Source organism: Homo sapiens, chromosome 10 (assembly GCF_000001405.40).
Source record: "Homo sapiens chromosome 10, GRCh38.p14 Primary Assembly".
NCBI lineage: Eukaryota > Metazoa > Chordata > Mammalia > Primates > Hominidae > Homo > Homo sapiens.
Genome location: NC_000010.11, coordinates 125878884 through 125902783, shown reverse-complemented (window position 1 = coordinate 125902783; position 23900 = coordinate 125878884). Strand labels below are relative to the sequence as shown.

At 41.6% G+C, this 23900-nt stretch overlaps 2 protein-coding genes and 1 pseudogene across 8 annotated transcripts in view, besides 6 other annotated features; 2 read left to right on the top strand and 1 right to left on the bottom strand.

The window, feature by feature from the left end:
- The window catches only part of FANK1 (fibronectin type III and ankyrin repeat domains 1), a 113029-nt gene extending 106809 nt beyond the window's left edge, over nucleotides 1-6220 (bottom strand). For 2 of the 3 annotated variants that reach the window (NM_001350939.2, NM_145235.5), the window contains exon 1: nucleotides 6129-6220. In NM_001350939.2, the coding sequence (NP_001337868.1) occupies nucleotides 6129-6141 (13 nt within the window). In that variant the 5' untranslated portion in view covers nucleotides 6142-6220. Of the gene's footprint in view, nucleotides 1-5875; nucleotides 5979-6128 lie in introns of those variants that run through there. The other variant, NM_001363549.2, reaches the window with a different exon arrangement.
- Nucleotides 5650-5944: a silencer, noted in NCBI's record as "tiled region #15703; K562 Repressive non-DNase unmatched - State 25:Art". NCBI's record gives its function as "represses a minimal TATA promoter and a strong SV40 promoter by Sharpr-MPRA in K562 cells {active_cell/tissue: K562}" and the evidence as "EXISTENCE:reporter gene assay evidence [ECO:0000049][PMID:27701403]".
- Nucleotides 6036-6175: a silencer, noted in NCBI's record as "silent region_2928". NCBI's record gives its function as "represses an Ori minimal core promoter by ATAC-STARR-seq in GM12878 lymphoblastoid cells {active_cell/tissue: GM12878}" and the evidence as "EXISTENCE:reporter gene assay evidence [ECO:0000049][PMID:35858748]".
- DHX32 (DEAH-box helicase 32 (putative)) overlaps nucleotides 6299-23900 on the top strand; it is a 60149-nt gene continuing 42547 nt past the window's right edge. For 2 of the 5 annotated variants that reach the window (XM_047425469.1, XM_047425467.1), the window contains exons 1-3: nucleotides 6299-6566; nucleotides 17108-17419; nucleotides 21713-22241. In XM_047425469.1, coding sequence (XP_047281425.1) covers nucleotides 21960-22241 — 282 coding nt within the window. In that variant the 5' untranslated portion in view covers nucleotides 6299-6566; nucleotides 17108-17419; nucleotides 21713-21959. Of the gene's footprint in view, nucleotides 6567-17107; nucleotides 17420-21491; nucleotides 22242-23900 lie in introns of those variants that run through there. The other 3 variants (XM_047425470.1, XM_047425468.1, NM_018180.3) reach the window with 2 other exon arrangements.
- Nucleotides 6336-6415: a silencer, noted in NCBI's record as "silent region_2927". NCBI's record gives its function as "represses an Ori minimal core promoter by ATAC-STARR-seq in GM12878 lymphoblastoid cells {active_cell/tissue: GM12878}" and the evidence as "EXISTENCE:reporter gene assay evidence [ECO:0000049][PMID:35858748]".
- Nucleotides 6636-6715: a silencer, noted in NCBI's record as "silent region_2926". NCBI's record gives its function as "represses an Ori minimal core promoter by ATAC-STARR-seq in GM12878 lymphoblastoid cells {active_cell/tissue: GM12878}" and the evidence as "EXISTENCE:reporter gene assay evidence [ECO:0000049][PMID:35858748]".
- RNU2-42P (RNA, U2 small nuclear 42, pseudogene) lies at nucleotides 12106-12218 on the top strand (annotated as a pseudogene).
- Nucleotides 16530-16824: a silencer, noted in NCBI's record as "tiled region #1957; HepG2 Repressive non-DNase unmatched - State 25:Art". NCBI's record gives its function as "represses a minimal TATA promoter and a strong SV40 promoter by Sharpr-MPRA in HepG2 cells {active_cell/tissue: HepG2}" and the evidence as "EXISTENCE:reporter gene assay evidence [ECO:0000049][PMID:27701403]".
- Nucleotides 21180-21902: an enhancer, noted in NCBI's record as "OCT4-NANOG-H3K27ac hESC enhancer chr10:127569451-127570173 (GRCh37/hg19 assembly coordinates)". NCBI's record gives its function as "activates a minimal SCP1, AML or CMV promoter by ChIP-STARR-seq in primed H9 embryonic stem cells {active_cell/tissue: H9 hESC(primed)}" and the evidence as "EXISTENCE:reporter gene assay evidence [ECO:0000049][PMID:30033119]".

Here is a 23900-nt window from a genome sequence, read left to right as displayed (position 1 = left end):
CCAGATAATTAATGAGCAGGTGCTGGCTGGGAGTGTAAAGATTTTTAGGTCTTATGACCTCGTGGCCGCTTGGTCCAAAAAATAAGTTTACTTGCCTCCTTCCTTATTCTTACCGGATAGAATGAGACTCGTTTAAAACATCTCGTTTAGGTTAGAAAAGAAAATGGGACACCATATTTGTAATCGACCTAACATTTATAAGTACCTGATTTAAATGAACTTTACCCAAAGCACAATCCACAAGAGGCACTTCAAATTTCACTGGAGCACAGCCCTTTGTGTTGTAGAATAATGTAGAATAAAATGGCTTTCTTTTTTTAAGTACACCACAACACTCTTAAGGAAATGAAAGTAGGTAAGGCATCTATCTGTGAACAGCAGTGCTATCCATTCCATGAATGTTTAGGGTTTACTCCGTGTTAGGCACTAGGGACGGGATGGCAAACAGGGCAGACAGGTCCCCTGACCTCTTCCACCACCCTACAGTCGAGTGAAGAAAGTAGAATTTTTTATTTAATTATTATTATACTTTAAGTTTTAGGGTACATGTGCACAATGTGCAGGTTAGTTACATATGTATACATGTGCCATGCTGGTGTGCTGCACCCATTAACTCATCATTTAGCATTAGGTATATCTCCTAACGCTATCCCTCCCTCCTCCCCCCACCTCACATTGCTCTTGTCTCCCACGATGGAGTACAGTGGTGCTATCTCGGCTCACTGCAACCTCCACCTCCCAGGTTCAAGCAATTCTCCTGCCTCAGCCACGTGAGTAGCTAGGATTACAGGCGTGCAACACCACACCTGGCTAATTTTGTATTTTTAGTAGAGACGGGGTTTCGCCAGTTGGCCAGACTGGTCTCAAACTCCTGACCTCAGGTGATCCGCCCGCCTTGGCCTCCCAAAATGCTGGGATTACAGGCGTGAGCCACCACGTCCAGCTAGATTTTAAATATTAACAAAATAATTACAAGTTCTGATTATTACTATTAAGAGAAAAGCGCAGAGATAGAATAACATCAGAGAGGGGGCACCACCACTTTAGGAAGCCAGGGAAGGGTTGCAGGAGGTGAAATTTAGGCAAAGATTGAAGGACATTAGGAGTCAGACCTGCCATAGCAGGAGGGAATAGCATCCCTGGCAGAGAGGAAAGCTTGTTCAGAGCCACAGTCCTGAAAGAAGCTTGTTTGAGGGACTACAAGAAGACCAATGTGCTTGAAGCATAATACATCTAAGATCAGATGTGTGATGAGTTTGAAGAGGCAGCTAGATCAACGTAAGGACTTTGGAGGGCTTTTGGCAGGAGAGTGACATGATCTGATTTGATGTATATTTTGAAAGGTCACTCCAGCTTCCAGGTAGCAGTGGAAGAAGACATGCAAAAATCACAATCATAACTTACACGGCATGGTAGCTTGGAGTACGGAGGAAGAGGAAGCACATTTGGGGTATATTTTGGAAGTGGAATAAACAGACCTGCTGGTGGATGGAGAAGGGTGGGGTGAGGGTTGATAATGAGGAGCCAAGGATGACTCATTTTCAGGTTGGAGTAACTGGGAAGGCTTGGAAGACTAGTGGAGAAACAGGTTTGGAGAGAGAAGTCTCAGTCCCTTAGTCATTCACCTCAGTTTCTTAGTCACTGAAATACCTTAGATCTCTTATCTACCATTTCTTTAAAAACATGCGTGAGCCCAGTAGGCAGTCCTGGCTACTCGGGAGGCCAATGGGGAAGGATCCCTTGAACCCAGGAGTTTGAGGCATACCTGGGCCACACAGCAAGACCCTGTCTCTCTAAAAACAACAACTACAAAAAAAAAAGGGGGGCAGAAAAAGGCTGGGCACAGTGGCACACGCCTATAATCCCAGCACTTTGGGAGGCCGAGGCGGGTGGATCACATGAGATCAGGAGTTCGAGACCAGCCTGACCAACATGGTGAAACCCTGTCTCTATAAAAATACAAAATTAGCCAGGCATGATGGCGTGCACCTGTAATCCCAGCTACTTGGGAGGCTGAGACAGGAGAATCGCTGGAACCTGGGAGGCGGAGGTTGCAGTGAGCCAAGCTAGTGCCACCACACTGCAGCCTGGGTAACAGAGTGAGACTCCGTCTCAAAAAACAAAAAACAAACAACAAACAAACAAACAAAAAAAAACAGAAAGAAACGTGTAGCAGAAAACTGCTGCCTGCTGGATTTTTAAAATACATATATATAGCAAGAGCTTACAGAACAGGTAGCACCAAGTGGGAGCCGGGGGGCTTCTCTTGATGCTGCATTTGATAAATATACAGTTTTTACTCAGATTATATGTTTGCTTAGATTTGGGCTAAAGATCCCCAAAGCCACCCCTTGGTATTAAAACTCATTAAGAAATTAAGGAAGAGATAGTACTATTGAACTATTTTCCAAAAAAAGAAAAAAAAAAAAGGACAAAAACCCAAAACAAATGGGAAGTGATGTACGTTTTCCATGTTATTTTATACATGAGCTATCTTTCCAACACTGAAGTTGGTTTAGCAAGAAAATAATTAAAGACGTCAATGTGCAAGCCAAGAGCCAAAACCACTCTCAACAGCCCAAGGTTGTGAACGTATTTAATTTGCCCTTTCCCTGGGAAGTCATTTCTTGGATCATTGACTTACTATTATTCTGTAAAACAGTGGTAGCCCCTGCCTTCCTCTGCTTGCTGCCAAGAGTATGATCCAGCTGTGGGGTCTGAAGAGTTTATGTTTATTGGATTTTAATGACTTAGTTAACAAAGGTCATTCCTAAAAGTAATAGAAAACTAAGGGTGTGGAAACAGAACGGAAAAGACTGACTCGAGGGTTATTTCTAGTAGTTCCTTGGTGTTGTCCTTAGATACATGTTTAATCCTTAAAAGCAATTATGAAGGAGTCTTCCTCATAACCAATTTACTGATGCTATATTCAACTACACTTGTAAAATGTTATTTTAGACCTCTCAGTAACAAAAGGAACAGGGTTTAAAATATGTTAGATAATATCGGCATAAACAATGTACTGTTAACATAATATTGCTGACAGTATAACTGTAATTCACTGTAATACTTGATGCCACGTCTGTAGTGCTTCCATTATGGCTGACAGTAGGAAATAACTTCCGTCTCAGGTGAAATCTGGTTGGATACAAATCTCCAAGTTAAAAGAAACCTCAAAGATCATTTAATCTTGTCCTTTTAAATATTTAGTAACTGTGAATGGTAGTAAATATTTATCCAAATTATGTTTCTTAGACTGTAAAAGAATTTCCAGGCTGGGTGTGCTGGCTCACGCCTGTAATCTTAGCACTTTGGGAGGACGAGGCAGGAGGATCACTTGAGGCCAGGCGTTCGAGAACAAATTGGGCAACAAAATCAGACTTTAGCTCTATTCAAAGTAAATAAAATTAAAAAGAAAATTAGGGGCCGGGCACGGTGGCTCACGCCTGTAATCCCAGCACTTTGGGAGGCCAGGGCGGGAGGATCACCTGAAGTTAGGAGTTCAAGACCAGCCGGACCAACATGGAGAAACCCCATCTCTACTAAAAATACAAAATTAGCCAGGCATGGTGGCGCATGCCTGTAATCCCAGCTACTTGGGAGGCTGAGGCAGGAGAATTACTTGAACCCGGGAGGCGGAGGTTGCAGTAAGCCAAGATCACATCATTGCACTCCAGCTTGGGCAACAACAGCGAAACTCTGTCTCTAAATAAATAAATAAATTAGCGGGGTATGGTGGCACACACCTGTAGTCACATCTAGCCAGGAGGCTCAGGTGAGAGGATTGCTTGAGTCCAAGAGTTCGAGGGTGTACTGAGCTATGATCGCACCACTATACTCCAGCCTGGGTGACAGAGCAAGACCCTGTCTCAAAAAAAAAAAAAAACAACAAAACTTGAGCTAAATGGTGATTGAATTATTTAAAATTAAATTGATGAAATAATTTAAGAATATGTGGAAAGAAAGAAATTTACAGTCATTCCTCAGGTATAAATTAAATATTTTCCACCTCAAAATCCAATGACATGAGATATAAATGTATAGTTCACATAAGTAATACATTTCTCACATGGTTACAGAACCTTTCTGATCAGGCTCCGGTTGAATTTTCCAGCCTTATCTCATTTCTCCTCCCTCCTTCCAACCCTGTTTTTTCCTCCTCCTCTCCTTAGCTACAGCTTTACTAATCTTCCTACCGTGAGCCTCAAACCCACGCTGCTCTCAGGTCTCAGGGCCTATGTACAAGTAATTCCCACTGCCTGGAATCCCTTGCCCTCATTCTTTGCTGGGTCATTCTGCAGACCCAGTACTACTTCCTCTTGGGAGCCTTTGTCCATCTCCTCTTCCCCCAATCTCCGAACCCCACCAAGACCTCAGGAGTTCTTGAGCAAGCCTCTGCTTAGTTTTCCTGGGATGACCAAAACTAACACTGTCCGATCCGTTGTTCAATCCTCAATCCCTAGAACAGAGCTGCAACATAACAGGCACTATAAATGAATGAATGGATAAAGACAGCACTGAAGAACTTGAAATTATAGTTTACACATGAAAACAGTAACATAAATCTGAAGAAATAAAGTTCTTTTTTTTGTTTTTTCGAGATGGAGTCTCGCTCTGTCACCAGGCTGGAGTGCAGCGGTGCAATCTGGCCTCACTGCAACCTCCGCCTCCCGGGTTCAAGCGATTCCCCTGCCTCGGCCTCAGCGTCCCAAATAGCTAGGACTCCAGGCACGCGCCACCACACCTGGCTTTTTTTTTTTTTTTTTTTTTTTTTTTTTTTTTTTTGTATTTTAGTAGAGATGGGTTTCACTATGCTGGCCAAGATGGTCTCAATCTCCTGACCTCGTGATCCGCCTGCCTCAGCCTCCCAAAGTGCTGGGATTACAGGCGTGAGCCACCGGGCCAGGCCAAGTTGCTGTTTTTAAAAGGTATATTTCAACTCACTTCTCTAAGGCGGGAATATACACAGCCTGCCATCAGTTTGACATAAAACAAAAATTTTAGCGTTCTTGTATGCTAAATTTCTTTTACTAGGTTAAAAAAATGTAGAATCCAAAGAGCTGTAAATGCAAATGACAAATACTGTACAAAATCTATCAAGCAACTATAAGTCACAACTTGCAAGCTTTCTCCTCAGCAAATGAGTTAAAAGGAAAAGTATTTGAAACTTTCTTGGTGGAAAACGAATGACCTTTAAAAATGCCAACATTTTCCCCAGAGAATAGATTTGGTCTGAGTTCTTCATTTCTGAAATTGTACAAGATAAGACGACTTGGTTTGAGAGTCAAACTGCATCCTTCTATAAAGGTTTTAGATAAATTTTAAGTCTCCATACAAAACACTCCCCTTATTTTGAGAACAAAAGGAACAATAAGACAGCTTAGGCGGGGCAGAGAAAGAAAGGCCTTGAAACAAAGTCCCTGGAAAGGTAAAAACAACAACAAAAATAGTAAGTTAGAGCTCGTGTTTAGATCTGATAACTCAAAACTGCACAACTTTTGCCATACATCGAAAGCAACATGGGAAAACAGAAAAAGAGATTACAAACATTTTTTGAGTGTCCTAACTTGTAGAACCCCTAAGAATGAATCAAATACACTTGGACAAAGCTCTTCTTTTCTCTCTCTCTCCTTCAAGTCGCAGACTAGGGGTGTGGGGCGGGGGGCGGGGAGTAAGACGGGGTCTCTAATAAATACAAGACCCAGCCTCGGACGTGTTTAATTGCTGACATTTTAGAAGAAAAATGGGCTACTTACAATTAATGAACCAAACTACCAAACTAAAATCATGAGTAGGAGGAGGAGTAAATGGAACCGTCCGGGCGAAGTTTCAGGAAGACGCACGCTGGGGTCGCTGCGCCCTTCCCCACCCATACCTCGGGGCTCTCCAGTCGCTCCCAGCCCCCAGCGCGGACTCTAGGGCGCCGGCGGCCCAACCATACAGACTTGGCAGGATGTAGCCCCCTTCTCCCCTCTCCAGGAGAGAAAAGCGCGAGGAGACGCAAACCGTATTTCCGTGTCCGAGCGTTGAAACCTGCGGAGTCGCGCGCGGGGCGCCCACACTCGTTCCCGGGGAGCCCCAGCCCGGTCGCCCGCCCCGGTCCCAGCTCCAGCCCGGGCCTCCCTTACTCTGGGGCTCCATGGTCGGCTGCTCCCCGGCCTCCGCGGGCGAACCCCCGGACTCCTAACGCCTCTCAGCCAGGGCCGGCGTCGCTACGGTTGCCCTGACAACCCGGAGGCGAAGTGGGCAGAACTAAAGGGACGGCGAGCGGGAGGGACCAAAAGCCGCAGGAAGTGAGGGAGCGCGTGAGGACCCGCGCGTCGCCGGGGACACTGAGCGAGGGTAGCGGCCAGGTCACCGGCTGAGGACACTGCTCCTGAAGCCCGGTCAGGCGGTCGCGCCCTCCCTGGCGGCCCCCGCGGCCCCGCAGGACCTGTGCCCCGACGTCGCCGACCCGCGGTCCCCGCTGTCGCCGACCCGCGGCGTCCGTCGGGCGAGTGGGCCTGCCCGCGGGTAAGGCGCCGGCCCTGGGCCGCCCTCCCGGGAATCGGGAGCCGCCGCTGCAGGTAACAGCGGGGCCCCGGCGGCGGAAGGGGTCGGGGGTCGGCGCAGGGGCGGGCGCGCCCCGAGCCGGGTGGGCGGCCCCGGCGCACCTGTTGTAGCCGCCTGGGGGTCCCCTGCCCGCAGTTGGCCGTGGACGTTCCCCGCCCCGACTCCGAAACGCCGAGGGCGGCCTCCGCGCCTCCTGCTCCGGGAGCCGCGCCTCAGCGGGAGGACGGAGCCCTGCGGGCAGCCCTCGCACCAGGGGCTCCCTCCGAGCCCGGGCATGGGCCGGGCCTGGGGCGGTCCCTCGAGCCCCCCTGACGGGAAGCGTGGAGCAATGCGAGCCGCCGCCGTCGTCGCTGTCGTCCCCAGTGAGCCTGGCGCGTCTCCTGAATCGCGAGAGCCAGGAGCACGGTTTTGCCCGGCTTTGCCCCGTCATCCCCGTGTCCCATTTCAGGCAGGGGGCCCGGGTTGGATCTTTCTCGCTGGCTTCGTTTTTTGTGTGTTGATTTGTTTCAGTCCTTCGCGTTTCCGGTTGAGTTACGGAATCTGCCCACACGTTTTGTGGCCAAACTTTGTAGGGCTGTGAAACAATGTAACATTATCCCACACAATAGTCTTTCATACTGGTTTTAAAACACAGTGATTCAGGGTTTGCTTTAAGGAAGCTTTGAGGATCACAAGAGATTATTATCTGGTAGGTTGTAAAAATTCAAACAACCAGGAGAGTATCATAGGTTCCGGAACACCAGAAGGAGGAAAGAAAAATGGAGACGAGAGAAAAAGGATAAGCAAGAAAGTGCAGGGGCATTAAGGGTGTGGGGGGCTGCAGGATTGATTTGGTATTCAGGTCTGGAGATTATGGCCCCTCTATTAATTCCAACCGCTGCTCCAGACAGTACTTGAGGGAAATGGAAGGAAGAGCCGTTTTGGGGGTCATGGAAGTGATTACTAATCTTGCCAGTAGAAAGATTTCCACTCCATGGATGACAAGGACACTAAGGAGAATTACTTTCCTCTTAGGGAATCATTGAGAGGTTAATTGAACTTGAGAAGCATATATTCTGTGATGGAAACTGACATTTATTATATTCTTCCAAATTAGGTTTTCCCCCTCTCAGACTATATGGGGACTTTTTCAGATTAATTGTCAAAACAAGAAGGTTTATGTGTGGATATTGACAAGCAGCGTGATATATACAGAACACATAATTCTTAAGCTGAAGTATTAAGGTAATAAATTAAGGGTGGAAAGTAAACACTTCATGGAACCTTAACTCCCTGTTCCTGAAATTTAGAGACAGGGGCTTCATTTTTAGACAGAAAGTATAAAGATCAGCAGTACTCCTGTATCCAGTGGTTCTCAAGTTCTAGTTTACATATCATTAGCAAAATCACAAAGCGGTCTTTTCATTCAAGATACAAATAGAGTGATCAGTATATCATAATCAAAAGTGACAAGATAGTGATTTAAAAAACACCTGGCATTTATTGACAAAAGAAAAGGTAGGATTAAGTCTGCTCAAACAGTAAAGGATTAGCATTAGTATTTTTTTAAAAAGAAGAAACAACAGTGCAGGTCTCTATGCTAAAGTAATAAGGACTGAAGAAGTTTTAAGTTTGGAAAAAATGGGGATATGTATTGGTGAAACACTTTGTAATCATATAGAATGATTATTTTATCAGCAGCTGTTAAGTTGACTTTGAGGAAATTTTGAATTGAAATACTTTAGGTGACAAGTAAAGGCAACTGTGAAAAGCAACATTTGATTTTAGGGGACAGGGTACCTGTGAAAGAAGACTGGTTAGGAGTGGAAGTCAGGCGTAAAGGCACTGAAATGTCCGAGGCAGGGACAATATTCAGTTTCTCTTCCTCTATCACCTTGTGCAATGTACCTGTTAAATGTTTGTTGAATGAGTGAGAAGGGCTTTAGAGAAATTGTTTTGGATATAGGGATACACTTTACTATTGGAGAAAACACCCGAGATCAGAAAGTTGCTAATGAGATAGGGGTGGGGGATGAATGGTAAAGACACTCTACCTTTTTGGAGTTTTCTACCATTGTGTTTTATTTCTTTTCACGGGCATGTTCAGTATGTTATTAGTGGTCAAATGAAAAGGAATAAAGTTCTATATATATTTTTTTAAGTCTCCAAGCTCATTACTAGATAGAATAGTTACATTATTGTTTACTTTGCTGATGTTTAACTAAATGTAGCAAACTGAAGCATTATGGATCGGGAATAACAAAGTAACAATGAAGAGACAGATGTAGTCTTTTTCTTATTTAAATCTCTTGACTACCTCAGAATTCAAAGTAGAAATAACTTTAGTGGGAGGTTAACATTATTTAATGCAAATAGGTTGATAAAAAATGTAGCAAATGAACATGTTATTAATAGTTCTGTCTTCTAGCCTTACTGTGGTAAGTTGAAGGAAGTTTTCATTTTTGTTTTTGTTGGTTTTAGGGTTTTTGTTGATTTTTGTTTTCTTTACCAGAGTGAGGGTACTTTTTTCTCTATCTGATACTTTCTGAAACTCTTAGGGAGTTCTGTCAAAGGTGGAAAACAATCAATTTCTATTTTTGGTGTTTTCCTCTTTGTTCTCCAAACTTGTCATGGTCTACATTCAATTTGTTGCACTCAAATGGAATGTCTATCTCTCCGCCCTTTACTCGTCCACAGTCTAAAGGACACTGGCCGGGCGCGGTGGCTCACGCCTGTAATCCCAGCACTTTGGGAGGCCAAGGCAGGCGGATCACGAGGTCAGGAGATCGAGACCATGCTGGGTAACACGGTGAAATCCCGTCTCTACTAAAAATACAAAAAATTAGCCGGGCATGGTGGCGGGCGCCCGTAGTCCCAGCTACTCGGGAGGCTGAGCCAGGAGAATGGCGTGAACCCGGGAGGCGGAGCTTGCAGTGAGCCGAGATTGGGCCACTGTACTCCAACCTGGGTGACAGAGCAAGACTCCGTCTCAAAAAAAATAAAATAAAAGTTAAATAAATAAATAAATAAATGGGACTGCAGGAGCATGCTGCCCCAGTTTCTGGAAAGTCTTTCAGGATTAGGCTAATGCCCACTAAATGCACTTCGCTCTCCTACTGGGGGTGCTACACGGTTTAGCATTTAGCTCTGTAGGATGCTTTCCTATAGAATTTTATCTCATATGGATGGATCTTGTACCTCTGACTGGATTAAATATGTTTGGAGCTAAGTGCATGACTTACGCTTCTTCTGTGTTGCTTTTAGCACATGGTGGTCTTCATTGTGTACCTGATAATTTAAGTAGGGTAATAATAGAGAGGTCAAACCTTTAGTTAGGGGTCATTGCATTAATTTCTAGCTTTGCCCTTTTGGAAAACCAGAAGCTATTATTTTGTCATTGATAACTTGGGATAATAAAACCTGCAATGGTTGTCTGATAGTCTAGTTGTGAGAATCAAGATAAATGTGATTATAGATTATGAATGAAAATATCTTGTATGTCGTAATGAACTTTTTTAATATAAAGGGCTGTTATTGACTTAGGCATAGAGCAGACATTGATTCCACATTCACAATGTGTTAGGTACTTCCTGGGCTCTGGAATTGCATGTCATAAAGGGTAAACAGGAAATGACCAGGTGCTTCCGAAGCAGAACAGCCTGGGCTGAGGCACGAAGGCCGGGAGAACAACTAAGCCGTGGTTTATTGTGGCTGAACTGGAGAATACTTCTTCATGTGTATTAGCAGAAAATGGGAGGAAGTAAGCCCAGAAAGGCAAATGTGGGCCAAATCAGAAGGAACCTAAGGACCATGAGTTTATTTTCCTTAAAGGTAATAAGGAGGATTTGGGTCAGTGACTGGATCAGTTTTGCATTTGGAAAGGATCACTGGCAACACTCAAATGACAGATTGGTAGAGAGCCTAAATGAGAGACAAAAAAATTGGAGATGTTGCTGAAGCTCAGTGAAGAAATGAAGAGAACCAGGAGAGCGATGGTGGGAATAAGAAGGAGGGGCCACTAAAAAAGGTAGAATTGGCAGATCTTGGTGATATAGGAGATGAGGAAGGAGAAGCCAGGGATGACAGTGGGGTGATAGACTGGATTGTTCTGTTATTCATTGAACTCTAAAGAAGAAAAAAATTTTTTGAGGAGTTTAAGAAGTGGGGTAGATGTGTTCAGTTTGAGATGCCTGTCATATACGTTGGGAGGTCCCATAAGTAGTAGTAGTTGGACATGTGGGTCTGGAACGAAAGGAAAAAGTCTGAGATGAAGATAGAATTTGGATTAAGCATTTAGTGATTGAAGTTAAAATGTGATGATTTTCTCCAGGGATATTATGTGGAATAAGAGGGTAAGGGATAGAGCCCTGAAGTATGCACATTTTACCTTGTGGGGAGGGGCTGATTGTGGAAGAACCCGTGGAGACTAAAGACCAGTGGTCAGAAAAGGGAGCTGAAAATCTGGGAGGATTAATGGAAGAGTACCTACTCCTGAGGAGTTCATGCATTGGCATTCCCCAAAATGATTATATTTTCCTCTAGCCACCGTAGAACGCACAACACAGTTCATCTATTATTGTTTTATTAAAGTTCATGTAAAATGACTACCCATTACTTTGTTAACAACAGAAATCTTGATATTTATGTTTAAAAATATTTTTTAAAACATTTTTAAACAAATTTTTTAGATATAGAGTCTTGCTATGTTGCCTAGGCTGGTCTGGAACTCCTGGGCTCCTCCCGCCTCAGCCTTCCAAAGTGCTGGGATTCCAGGCATGAGCCACTGTGCCTGTGGCTATTTATGGGTTTTTTGTCTACATTTGGGACAACAAATCAAGTAAAATGTAACTTTAGAAGTTGATTATGATTATGCCTCAAGCAAATACTTAAAAAAAAAAAGAGAGAGAGAGATGGATAAAAGTTCATTTTGTGTATGTCTCAGGTAAAGTATGTTAACTTGGGGAGACCAGCAGTAACCTGTTCTTTAAATCTCAGCTTTTATTGAATCTCACACAAAATTTTTCTCAGATGTGTCACTAGACTACTTAAATAAGCCAGATTAGTATTTTTGCATACTTTATTAACTCTGCTTCTACTCAGAGTAAATTAGTTTTCGGAATGGAATGCAGTCAAAAAATCATCAAAATAATATCACAAAGCACTGAGTGGTCCAGTCATTTGAACTTCTGACAATACCTTTGACTTAGAAACTTATTTGTAGGGAGTGGTATATTAATACTATACATAAACATTGATTGAGCTCGGGGGGGACTTTCTGTATATACATTAAAAAATATGTTTTTTTAATAGAGACGGGGTCTCTATTAAGTGACCTCTATTTTTTAAGTGAGACGGGGTCTCACTGTGTTGCCCAGGCTAGTCTCAAACTCCTGGGCTCAAATTATCCTCCCCACTTGGCCTCCCAAAAGGATGGGATTACAGGCATGAGCCACTGCCCCAAGCCTAAAATTTTTTTAAGTACCGTTAGAATGTAAGGATTCTTTTTAAAAAATTTGATTGTGCAGGGTTGGTTATTCAACCAATATGCAATACAATATTCAATACTGTATATTCATCACTTCTCGGCCTTTTGGCTAAGATCAACTGTAGTATCTGTTGTTATTAATATAATATTGTATATTCAACCAATTGTCAATACAAGGCTGGTTGTATCTGATATGAACCAACATTGAGTTAAAAATGGACCTTTTTTATTTTTAAAAAGCTAATTAACTAGATTTGCTTACTTAAAATCAAAGCAATCAACTCGTTACAAGTCTAGAAATAAGGATTTTAAAATAGATTTTGAATTTTGACCTTATCTTTTTCCAGAAAGACTTTAAATTGATACTGGAAACCAAATAGGATATATTTTTGGGAGATTTCAGGCTATTAAAACAAAGGCAAACAAAGAAGTGACCTTCTAAAAGTCCTAGTAATGATTAGGTCCATTGTTTCAATTAAAGCATACCATGCTTGAGAGATAAAGTGTATTAAATATTTGACTGTAACTTTGTGTTAGAAATATGTTTTTCAAATCTATAAAAAAGATTTACAAATCTATCTATACCATGTTTTTCAGTTTTATGGTATTTCTTCCAGACCTCTCTTCCTGACATCGCCATTAGTGTCAAGTATTTCTTCAACCCCCAGTGATGCAACGTGAGCCTATTTTTAAAAATGTAGTCTGGAAGCAATATGTAACATAGTCAGGAAGCAGTATGGATATATGGTTAAGCATATACACTATACACTGAACTGGGGTTAAGCAGAGATCATACTGCCTGACTTTAAGCACCTGCTCTACCACAGATGATCTTCTAGAAGCCGTATAAATTAAACCTCTGAAGGTTTACATTTCCTCATTTGAAAAATGGAAATAATAAAGTAAACCCTCATGGGGTCCTTAAGAGTTTAAATGAAATAATCCATATAAAGTGCTTAAGTGCTGAACATAGCATCTGGTGTGCAATAATCACTCTATAAATGCTAATTGGTAAAATTATCATCATTGTTATTGTTAGTCCAACTATAGTAGTAGTATGGAACCAGGCTTCTCAAAAGTGTGGCCTGCAGATCAGGGCCAGTGCAGACTTACTGGTTTGCAGTGAGATCCGGAGCTTGTGCCAGAATGTAAATAGGCGATGTCACTAAACATACTGATTACTGTTCAGCTGACTTTTTAAAAATAGCAAGACCTCTTCAGTGTAGGAAGCAGTTAGTTGATTTACATTCTGGTGCAAGCTCTTTACCTTGCCACAAACCAGCACCAGAGTTGACGTGGAGTGTTGGACCAGTGATCCCGCTCTCCAAAAATAATAGTCCTTTATTCTGAAGACGTTATTATTCACTCATAATACCTCATTAACTTTCTTTTTTTCTAAACATAGTAAAAATAGAGTGTAAGTATATTGTTTATGAGTTCAGCAGATATTTATTGATCACATAGTTTGTGCACAGCCCTGTATCTTATTTTGCAGGAGTTGCAAAGCGGGCTCAGAAATTAATCTTGGCTTTAGGAAGTCTACCATAAACCCGCAAAAGGAAATAAGTGAAAATCTAAATAAATGTGTTGAATATATGCAGTGAGTGTTTGCAATAGTGTTATAAGTTGGTTCCAAAGATTTCAATATAGACGGATGTTTCCTTTTGCTGAGCTGCTACCACAATGGGACAGAATTAATTATTTTTTTGGAAACGGAGTCTTACTCTGATGCCCAGGTTGGAGTGCAGTGGCGCACTTCAGCTCACTGCAACCTCCGCCTCCCAGATTCAAGCAATTCTCCCACCTCAACCTCCTGAGTAGCTGAGATTACAGGCATCCGCCACCATGCCCAGCTAATTTTTGTATTTTTAGTAGAGACGGGGTTTCACTATGTTGGCCAGGCAGATCTTGAACTCCTGACCTCAAGTGATCCACCCGCCTTGGCCTCCCAAAGTTCTGGGGTTACAGGCATGAATCACCACGCCTGGCCAGGACAGAATTAATACCTTTTACTTTTTCAGCATTATGCTATCACAATAAAGTTCAGAGTTTGCTTTATTAAGATAGTGTTTGAATATTCTAGGAGATTCAGAAACCTGCAGTACTAGGGAAATCTGAGTTTTAGATATAATAACAAAATTATAAATTTTAAAGATTTGTATTGTAGAAGATTATCCTTAAGTGTTTTTTAAATTACTAATTTACTATTTCACCCTTCATGCAAATATATGAATTATAAATGATTGATTGTTCCATAGAATATGAAGAGACATTAAATAAATCTTAAAATATTTATAAAGTTTTGGTTAAAATGAGCACAATTTCTTCTCAAAAAAATTCACTGCCAGCCTGGGCAACATAGGGAGACACTGTCTCTACAAAAATAAAAAAATAAAAATTAGCCAGGCATGGTGGTGTGTTCCTATAGTCCCACTACTCGAGAGACTGAGGCAGGATGATCAATTGAGCCCAGAAGTTGGAGGCTGCAGTGAGCTATGATCATGCCACTGCACTCCAGCCTGGGCGACGGAGTAAGACCCTGTCTTTAAAAAAAAAAAAAAAAAATGCATTGCTCAAACAGATAATGTTGAAACAAATTCTGGGGTAATATAAACATAATAATTTTTAAAAGGCAAGGCGTGTATATTTTACATATAAATATGTATATTATATAGTACAGGGTTTACAAACTATGAGTCAGATCATGAGACAGATTTATTTTTGCAGACTAATTTACTGTTGAGTGGGCTTAGGGAAAAAAGGAAAATAATGCAAAATGTTCAAGTCAAGAAGTGTTATTTCATTTTTAATATTTCTTAGAATGTTTTACATGGAAGTGGATATATTGGTTTCTCTTATTGCCATGCTTGGTGCACCTGCTCATAATCACGTTTGTTGTGCCTTTTGCCATAAACTGTTACCTAATCTCACTAATGACTTTAAGAAAATTGAAGGTGGGTGTTAGAAAGATTATAGGTAATATTAAAGAATATAAGGCAGGCATGGTGGTGTGCACCTCTACTTCTAGCTACTCGGAAAGCTAAGGCAGGAGGATCACTTGAGCCCAGGAGTTGAATACAGCCTGGGCAACATAGACTCTGTCCCTATTTCTAAAATTTAAAAAAAAACACACACACAAACACATACAATGTAAAATAAAGAAAAGACTGTAACCTGAAATTTAAGAGGAGAATTTTAAGGAAAAAAAGAGTAAAAAATGAAATTTGGATCAAGAAATGACTAGGTAAGTTAGACCCATGGCACTGTAATCACAACTTTTTTACCATAGCAGATCAGGTATTTTGCGATCTGGCCCCTATCTCATCTTTGAACTCATCTTGTACCAAAGTCTTTCTCTGCAATTAGGTACCAGCCACACTTGCCTTCTTTTAAGTAATTGTCTGTAAGGTTGAGTCTACATATCATAGACAAAGAATTTCTATTTCCACACCCCACCCTCAGCCTCACCTAACCAGACCTGCCTGTTCAAACTGTGTCCCTACCATGTTCACATTGCAGACACATATTAGGCACTCAAGTATTGGTTGAACAGGTAAATGGAAAACCCAAAAATGGAGGCATTGAGGATGAGAAAACTTGAAGACACAGAAGACCTATTAGATTATGAATGATATCGATGGTAAAATACAATCAGATGTTGCCCTTAGAAGCATATGATCCCTAAAGGATAGAAAATGACTCATTCACTATTTACTCAGCCCGTAATTATTAATTAGTCACCCACTGTATTTGGATTTAGGAGTGGAAATTACCAGTGAAGAAGGTGTAGCTCCAATAACAGTGTAAGTAAAGAGACAGAAAGACATGGGGAAAAGATAATCACTAGTACAAACGGTTCAAGAGTCCCCTCATACTTGATGTTGCCTCCTCAGCATGTGCAGTTTACAAGCGGTCCCACAAAGATCAGTGATCTGCTAGAGCAAGCGTGATACATGCCATTGTCTGAATCTCAGTGCAGCTTTGTACTTTTCAACATGATAACTCTTCTGAATTGATCAAGAAGAAAGCAGCTTTAATAAATGTTGAAAGGAGTTAATTTGGGGTTTGGATGTATGATTCAAGGGACGACCAGGAGCCTCTACAAATATTCCAGTTTGTGGGTTTGTGAGTCTTAAAGAATTCTAAGAATAGCAAGAGTCTATCATATATCATAAACAGAAGGGAACAAAAAAGTCACATAAATCCAGAAACATAGTGAATTCCTGATAGAAGTGTTTAAACTCTATGCAGCAGTAGTAAACTACCTTGAACTTAGCTAAGAGTGAAATAATGAAGGACGTAACTATGCAAGATAGACTGCAGTGGAGACACTAAGCCCTGCTTCATAGAGCTCACATTCCAGTGAAGGGCACCAACAGAAAACAAAGAGGGAAAATGTATACATTATGTTAGGTGGTGGTCTTAAGGAGAAAAAATGAAGCAGTTAAAGAGGTTAGGAAGTGGTTTTTGGGAGTGTGGGAGAGCGGTAAAAGTTTAGATAGGGTGGCCAGGGAAGCATTTACTGAACTGCCATTTGGTAACGACCTTTATGCAGCAAGGAAGCTAGCCATTTGGATATCTGAGGGAGGAACATTTCAGACATACAGAAGGGTGAACACCAAGTTCCAGAGGCAGGCATCTGCCATGGTGTTTGAGGAATAGCAGGGGAGCCGTCTGGCTAGGGAAGACTGAAGTAGGAGCTGTTGCAAATGAGGGCAGAGAGGCGATGGGTCCAGATCATACAGTGATTGTTGGTCCTCTTAAGGATTTTGGTTTTTCCTCAGAGTGAGATGAGATGGGAAGTATTGGAGACTATTGAGCAGAGGAGACATGAGCTGACTTTAATAGGATGACTCTGACTGCAGGCTTGAGACCTGACTGTAAGGGGCTAAGGGTAGAGGAAGGCCGGTTAGGAGGCTATTGCAGTAATCCAGGTGAGAGGGGTAGTGGCTCAGACCAAGTGTTCACAGTAGAGGTTATGGGGCACTTGATATTTTTTGAAGACAGAACTGACATGATTGAATATATTAGTTTTCTATTGCTTCTATAAGAAATTACCATAAATTGAGTGGTAATTTATTGTCTTAACAGCTTCGTAGATCAGAAGTCGGTTGTCGGTCTCACTGGACTACAATCAAGGTGCCAGCAGGACTGTGTTCGTTTCTGGAAATTCTAGAAGATGATCTGTTTCCTTGCCTCTTCTAGCTCCTAGAGGTCACTCACATCATTCTTCGGCCGTGGCCCCTTCCTCCACCTTCAAAGCCCACAACATTGCATCTCTCCGACCTTCTTCCATAGTCATATTTTCCTCTGACTGTGGCTAGGAGGGTCCTCTGATTGTTAAGACTCATGTAATTAGATTGGGCTCACCAGGATCGTCCAGGATAATCTTCCAATCTCAAGGTTATTAATTTAATCACATCTGTAGAGTCCCTTTTGCCATGCAAAGTACATATTCATAGGTTCCAGGGATTCCTACATGCACATCTTTGGAGGCCATTCTACATACCACATCAGTCGAAGGACCAGATGTGGGATTTAAGATAGAGAAAAATCAAGGGTAACTTCAAATACTTTGATCTGAGCAATGGGAAGGAAGGAATTAACTGAAATTGGGGGGACCAGATTTGTGGCTTTGGGGTACATGTTGGGAGCTCAGTTGCAGGCGTGTAAAGTCTGAGTTTCCTATTAAATATCCAAGTGGGAGATGATGCATAGGTAGTTGAATACATGACACTGAAGTTTAGATCGATGGATCCTAAGGACAGATACACCCATACATCCAAGTATGGATGGCACTAAAGCCATGAGATGAGATGAGACCACTTAGGCCCTATTAAAGAGAGAAAGGGGAAGAGAGGTCCAGGAACTAAGCATTGGGAACTTCCAGATATCTACCAAGTGCTAAAATTATGTATTTGGGTATTTGATACATGAAAAGTAAGCAGTAATATTGGCTTGAATACAGAAAAAAAAAACACACAAAAGAGGAGCACTGAATGGTGAAACATAAGTTACTCAGGACAAATTAATGCTTTTGCTTCACTTAATGCCTTACAAACTTTGTCTTTCCATTTCTGTGAACTGTATTTCTAGAATTACTGGACCAGAGCCAAACACATAAATGACTAAGACATAGCTTCATCTTACATTGACTTCTAATTCTACCTTGTTAAGGTTGTCTGTTAATTAGATATGTATTATTTTCATGGATGCATGTTTAAGAGCTGTAATAGATTGATTTCAAATAGCTGTCCTTGACAAAGTGTGCCATCTACAATATACATGTATGATAGCTTTGAAAGAGCAAATGTCAATCTTTCAGATTTAAATTTCTTATAGTGGAATGTAGTTTATACTTACAACAGAACAGTTATGAAACTTTATTTTGAATGACATCTAACCTACCATATTATTTGTTTCTCTTTCTTTAGACTGGTACTGTTAAATTTGCCAAAGGCCAAGACATAGATCTTTGGTACATATTTAATTACCTCTAGGAAAAAACATTTACATGGCTTACACCAGTTGCAAGATGAATAAGGAGAGGTATATGAATGTTATTGGAGTCAATGGGCCCAACTCCTCTAGTTAGGTCTCAGCCACTCCACCCTCCAAATTTGGAATCCAAACCATATAGCAGCAAAAGGTCCTTCTGAGTAGTCGAAATAGATGTTCCAGAGTCTATAAATGTCATAGTTTTGCGCCTCAGACTCATTGGATTCAATGGTAGCATCCTTTGTGGACTCAAGCTTTACAAATGTGTCTGTCAAACAAGCTTGTCTGGCTTCTAATGCACCGGTTAGGAGAGCAGGTTAGAAAGGCAGAGAAGAGCCTCACAAGGTAAGAGGCCACACCACACAGTGGCATGGGTTCTGAGTCCCCAGGGAAGAGCAGGGCTCCAGGAGAGCAGTCTGGTCTTTGGCTTCTGTAGATTTCGGAGACATCTGAGGACATCATTCTGTTTTGGCAACTGATGTAATGGTGACCTTGAGTCACAATGAAAAAGTTAAATTGTGAGTATAGTTTATTTAAGAAGGCAGAAGTCTGGTTATCTGTTTCTGCAAGTCAAACCACCCTGCAACTTAGTAGCTTACAAAAACAGTGACCATTTGTTGTCTCATGATACTTTGGGTTGTATGGGCTCCTGTGGATGCTGCTTCTGCTCAGTTGGCTGGGGTTGCAGTCATCTGGAGGCTCGACTGGGCTGGGGCATCTTAGGCAGCTTGTTCACATGGTTGAAGGTTTATGCTGCTGTGGACTGGAAGTTCAGCTTTGGTCTCTTCCCGGTGGCTTGGGCGTGGGTACCTCATAGAATGACAGCTGGTTCTAAAGAGGAGTGTTTCAAGCATGGGAATATCTTGGAAGTGATTCAGTATCACTTAACTGCATTATTTTAGTCATAGTGACACTGGTCACAGGGCCAGCTCAGATTCAAGGGGAGAGGAAATAGACTCTACCTCTCCATTTGGAACAGTGGCAAATAATCTGTGGCCATCTTTAATTCCACTATAACAGAGAAGTGGTTAAGGCTAATGTGTGTGGATACATTGCACAATGTGTGATGAAGGGGCCAGGTAAGTCTCAGGTCTTTAGAAAGAAGACTATTCAGAAAACTTGATTATTTCCTCAGGGTTCAAAGTGGTCAGTGCTTTATAAGTAAGAATTTACTGTAATTATAAGATTATTACACTCTTAGGGAGTATTATAAATAAGAGAAACATTTCTTTTTGGTAAAAATAATAGCTGTTCTTTTTTTAAGGTAAAACAGTTAAGAAATACTACCTAAGGCAATCATTGGTTATAATATTTAATAGCAATTTAATTTACATGTAGGCTGAGAACCCTTGGAAGGGATTCTAATCAGAACAAAAGAAAAATAGAATATAAAATTAAATTTTAACTTCTCTGAAGAGTGGAATTTTCTGATTCTTGGATACCTTCCCAGAATTAGCTTGTGCGATGATCTCAAGCTACCATGCTTCCTGGAGCTATTCTGTGGGTCTACTCTCACCTTATAGAGGCAGTGAAGAGTTCTGAAGTGAATCCATATTACAACATTTCTATTATGCCTTTGTAATTCCATTTTAATTTTGAAACACTGGCTTTTAGATGAATTTTTAAGAACTTTACTTGGGAAGAGCTATGAAGTTCTTCTGCCTCTCTGGTTACTTACCTCTAAACTAGCTTGTTCATCTGTGAATTTTAAAACTTTCTATCCTGCTCTTGCTGCCATCTTCAAAATATCCTTTATGTGTGTATCTAGTGCCTAGTTTACTCATCTAATAAGCCCTTAGAAGACACTCAGCAAATGTTTTTTGAGTGATTGACTGTTGCCCTGGAGCCTGTCTTGACCAATAGAGAGAGAGCTTTTCTTATCACTTACTAATTAGGAACTAGCTGTTGAGCACACTGGCTCCAACCATCTAAAGCAATAATTAAGGTAAACCAGGTGATCCGAAAAGTGCAGTAACTTACAAAATATCATGAACTGTATTTTATTATTCTTTTTAACTTGAGTTTTCTTTTTCATTTTTATCTGGTTAATGTGAAAAGGAGCTTATTTCCAGCAACACTAATGGAATTTTTCTTTTTAATCACTAGTAATTGGAAGGGGAAAGACCCTTCACCTGACATGTGGGGACTGAGTTATTGGTATAAATCTTGCTCTTTCTTGGGTGATTTCTCTTCTTCATTTAAATTAAAAGTTGTCCTTAATGGCCTCTTGGAGCTGACATGTTGGGCTCAAGACCCAGGAATCTCAAGAAATATGCTAGAGATTTCTGGTTTAATTAAACAAAAGACCTTATTAATAAAAGCCAGCCAGCTGGGCATGGTGGCTCACATTTGAAATCCCAGCACTTTGGGAGGCCAAGGAGGACAGACCACTTGAGCCCAGGAGTTCGAAACTAGCCTGGGCAACAAGGCAAAACTCCGTCTCTACAAAAAAATACAGAAATTAGCTGGACATAGTGGTGTACACCTGTAGTCCCAGCTACTCAGGAGGCTGAGGCAGGGGGAAAACAGCCTGGGAGGTTGAGGCTGCAGTGAGCCATGATCACGCCACTGCATCCAGCCTGGGTGACAGAGCGAGACCCTGTCTTTTTTATATATATATAAAATAAAAGCCAACCATAACTACATATGGAAGGAAATAATAAATTCATTCCCCTCACTTGGCTTTCTAAACTGACATAAGCAAAAGGAAAATGAAAAGTTTTAAAAATGTTTTTCATTAAAGTAAAGGATTTCTTAATAATAGATTTTCCTGTAGCCTGTGTTAGAGGAACACTCACCAGGTCATCACAGTTCTTTCCTTTTATAGGGTCCAGCTCCTCTTTTGACATGGGATTAGGTGACCACGTGATTGATTAGCCTCACAATCACAATCCTGTCCCTCCTGTTGCTTTCCATTCACAGTTGATCAAGACGCAGAGCCTGAGATAGAGGTCAGGCAGAGAGCACGAGGCCCAGTGCAGAATCATTTTCTGAACCAGCCAGGAAATACCGGAACCCACCAAACTTTAAACACCAGCCTAAATTATTCCTGTTCTTTTAAGCAGGCAGCAGAAATGACAGAAACCCGTTAACAGAAAAAAAAAAAATAATGCTTTTCATTTGAACTCCTGTGCATTTTCTTTTTAACTTATATGTGTTCCTAATTTTCCTTACTCTTTTTGTTTGTTTGTTTCTTAGTGTGGTTTATTGACAATCATTTACAATGCCGAAGAGTGCTGTAGTGAGCCAGCACAGTGGGTAACACAGCAACGGAGAACAGATGCAGGTTTGAGGAATTTAACTTGCTAAAACCTTGAACTGAAGTCTTAGAGATTGGAACATACGGGTTTGTATAAATAGGCTTTTAAGCCCTGTTTGCAATGGGTTACTGATAGGAGAAACTTGCTTGTGGAATGTCAGCTGCGTGAGCTCACTGTCAGACAAGATGGAAGAAGAAGGGCTGGAGTGTCCAAACTCTTCCTCTGAAAAACGCTATTTTCCTGAATCCCTGGATTCCAGCGATGGGGATGAGGAAGAGGTTTTGGCCTGTGAGGATTTGGAACTTAACCCCTTTGATGGATTGCCATATTCATCACGTTATTATAAACTTCTGAAAGAAAGAGAAGATCTTCCTATATGGAAAGAAAAATACTCCTTTATGGAGAACCTGCTTCAAAATCAAATCGTGATTGTTTCAGGAGATGCTAAATGTGGTAAGAGCGCTCAGGTGAGTAACCACTACAAAAAATAATTTGCTGTATGTGTTGATTTTTTAATTGTTATTTAATGACATGTCACAGCCTAGTGTTCTAATAATAGTGTCTAAAACAAAAAACAAAACATTATTCAGATAAAATAATTAAATCACGTACCTAATTTTATTAATTTTACTAATACTAGCTGAAAAGTTAATAATATCTATGTAGAAATTAATTGTGTTTAGGGTACCACTGAATTGTCTATAGAGCAGTATTAAAATTACTCAAATGATCCTAGTATTAAATTTACTCAAATGATCCATTGTGTATATGATATTTTAAAAGATGTGATGCGTGTTATTTCCTCAGCATGGGTATGGGGATTAACTGCTCTGTTTCAGTGCCCAGTGGTCTGAGAATCCAGATATGTGGATGTGCTTGCTGGTGAAGCTGGCTGAGCTACTGAAATCAAAAGCACAAGGAAATTCTGATTTTCCTGACTATAAGAAATAACTGAGCAACTAAATATGATCCAGGCCTGGGGCCACACACTTTGGGGTCTAAGATGGGGGAAAGAATTAGGATCATTAAGAGATAAACCTAGGGATATTAAAATATTAAAGAGTTGGAGCAGGCACAGTGGCTCACATCTGGAATCCCAGCACTTTGGGAGACCAAGGTGGACAGATCATTTGAGCCCAGGAGTTCAAGACCAGCCTGGGCAACATGGCAAAATGCCGTCTCTACAAAGAAGTAGCCGGGCATGGTGCTGCATGCCTGTCGTCCCAGCTACTTGGGAGGCTGAGGTGAGAGAATCACCTGAACCTGGGAAGTTGAGGCTGCAGTGAGCTGTGATGATGCCCCTGCATTCCAGCCTGGGCGATGTGAGTGAGAGACCTTGTCTCAGAAAAAAAACAAAAAAAACAAGGAGTTTGTTTGAGCAAAGAATGACTCATGAATTACGCAGCACTCAGAACCATTGGAGGTTAGTGAGCCCCATTCTAGCAGCAAGGGCAGTGAGCTTTTATAGGCTGAACATGAAAGTAAGACAAAAGACATTTAAATTGGTTAGAGTGGAAAGTTCCGAGTTAGGGAATAGTTGGCAGTTTCTGATTGATAAAGTCTAGTATGGTTTTACTGTTTACATTGGACTTTAGTTTGCTTATGTGGGACCTTCTAGAGCTCTGTCATTGCCTCAGCCTAATGGCCTCTCAATTAAAGTTTGTTTGTTTGTTTAACGGGATAGTGGGCCAGGTGCAGTGGTTCACACCTATAATCCCATCACTTTGGGAGGCTGAGGCAGGAGGATTGCTTGAGTCCAGCAGTTTGAGACCAGGCTGGGCAACATGGCAAGATCCCAACTTTATAAAAAATTAAAAAATTAGCTGGGCATGGTGGTGCGTGCCTGTGGTCCCAGCTACCCAAGAGGCTGAGGCAGAAGGATCACTTGAGCCCATGAGGTCAAGGCTGCAGTGAGCCATGTTCATGCCACTGTACTTCAGCCTGGGCAACAGAGCAAGACCCCGTCTCAAAAAAAAAAAAAAAAAAAAAAAAAACAAGAAAAGGCTGGGCGCTGTGGCTCATGCCTGTAATCTCAGCACTTTGGGAGGCCGAGACGGGCAGATCATGAAGTCAGGAGTTCGAGACCAGCCTGTCCAATATGGTGAAACCCTGACTCTACTAAAAAA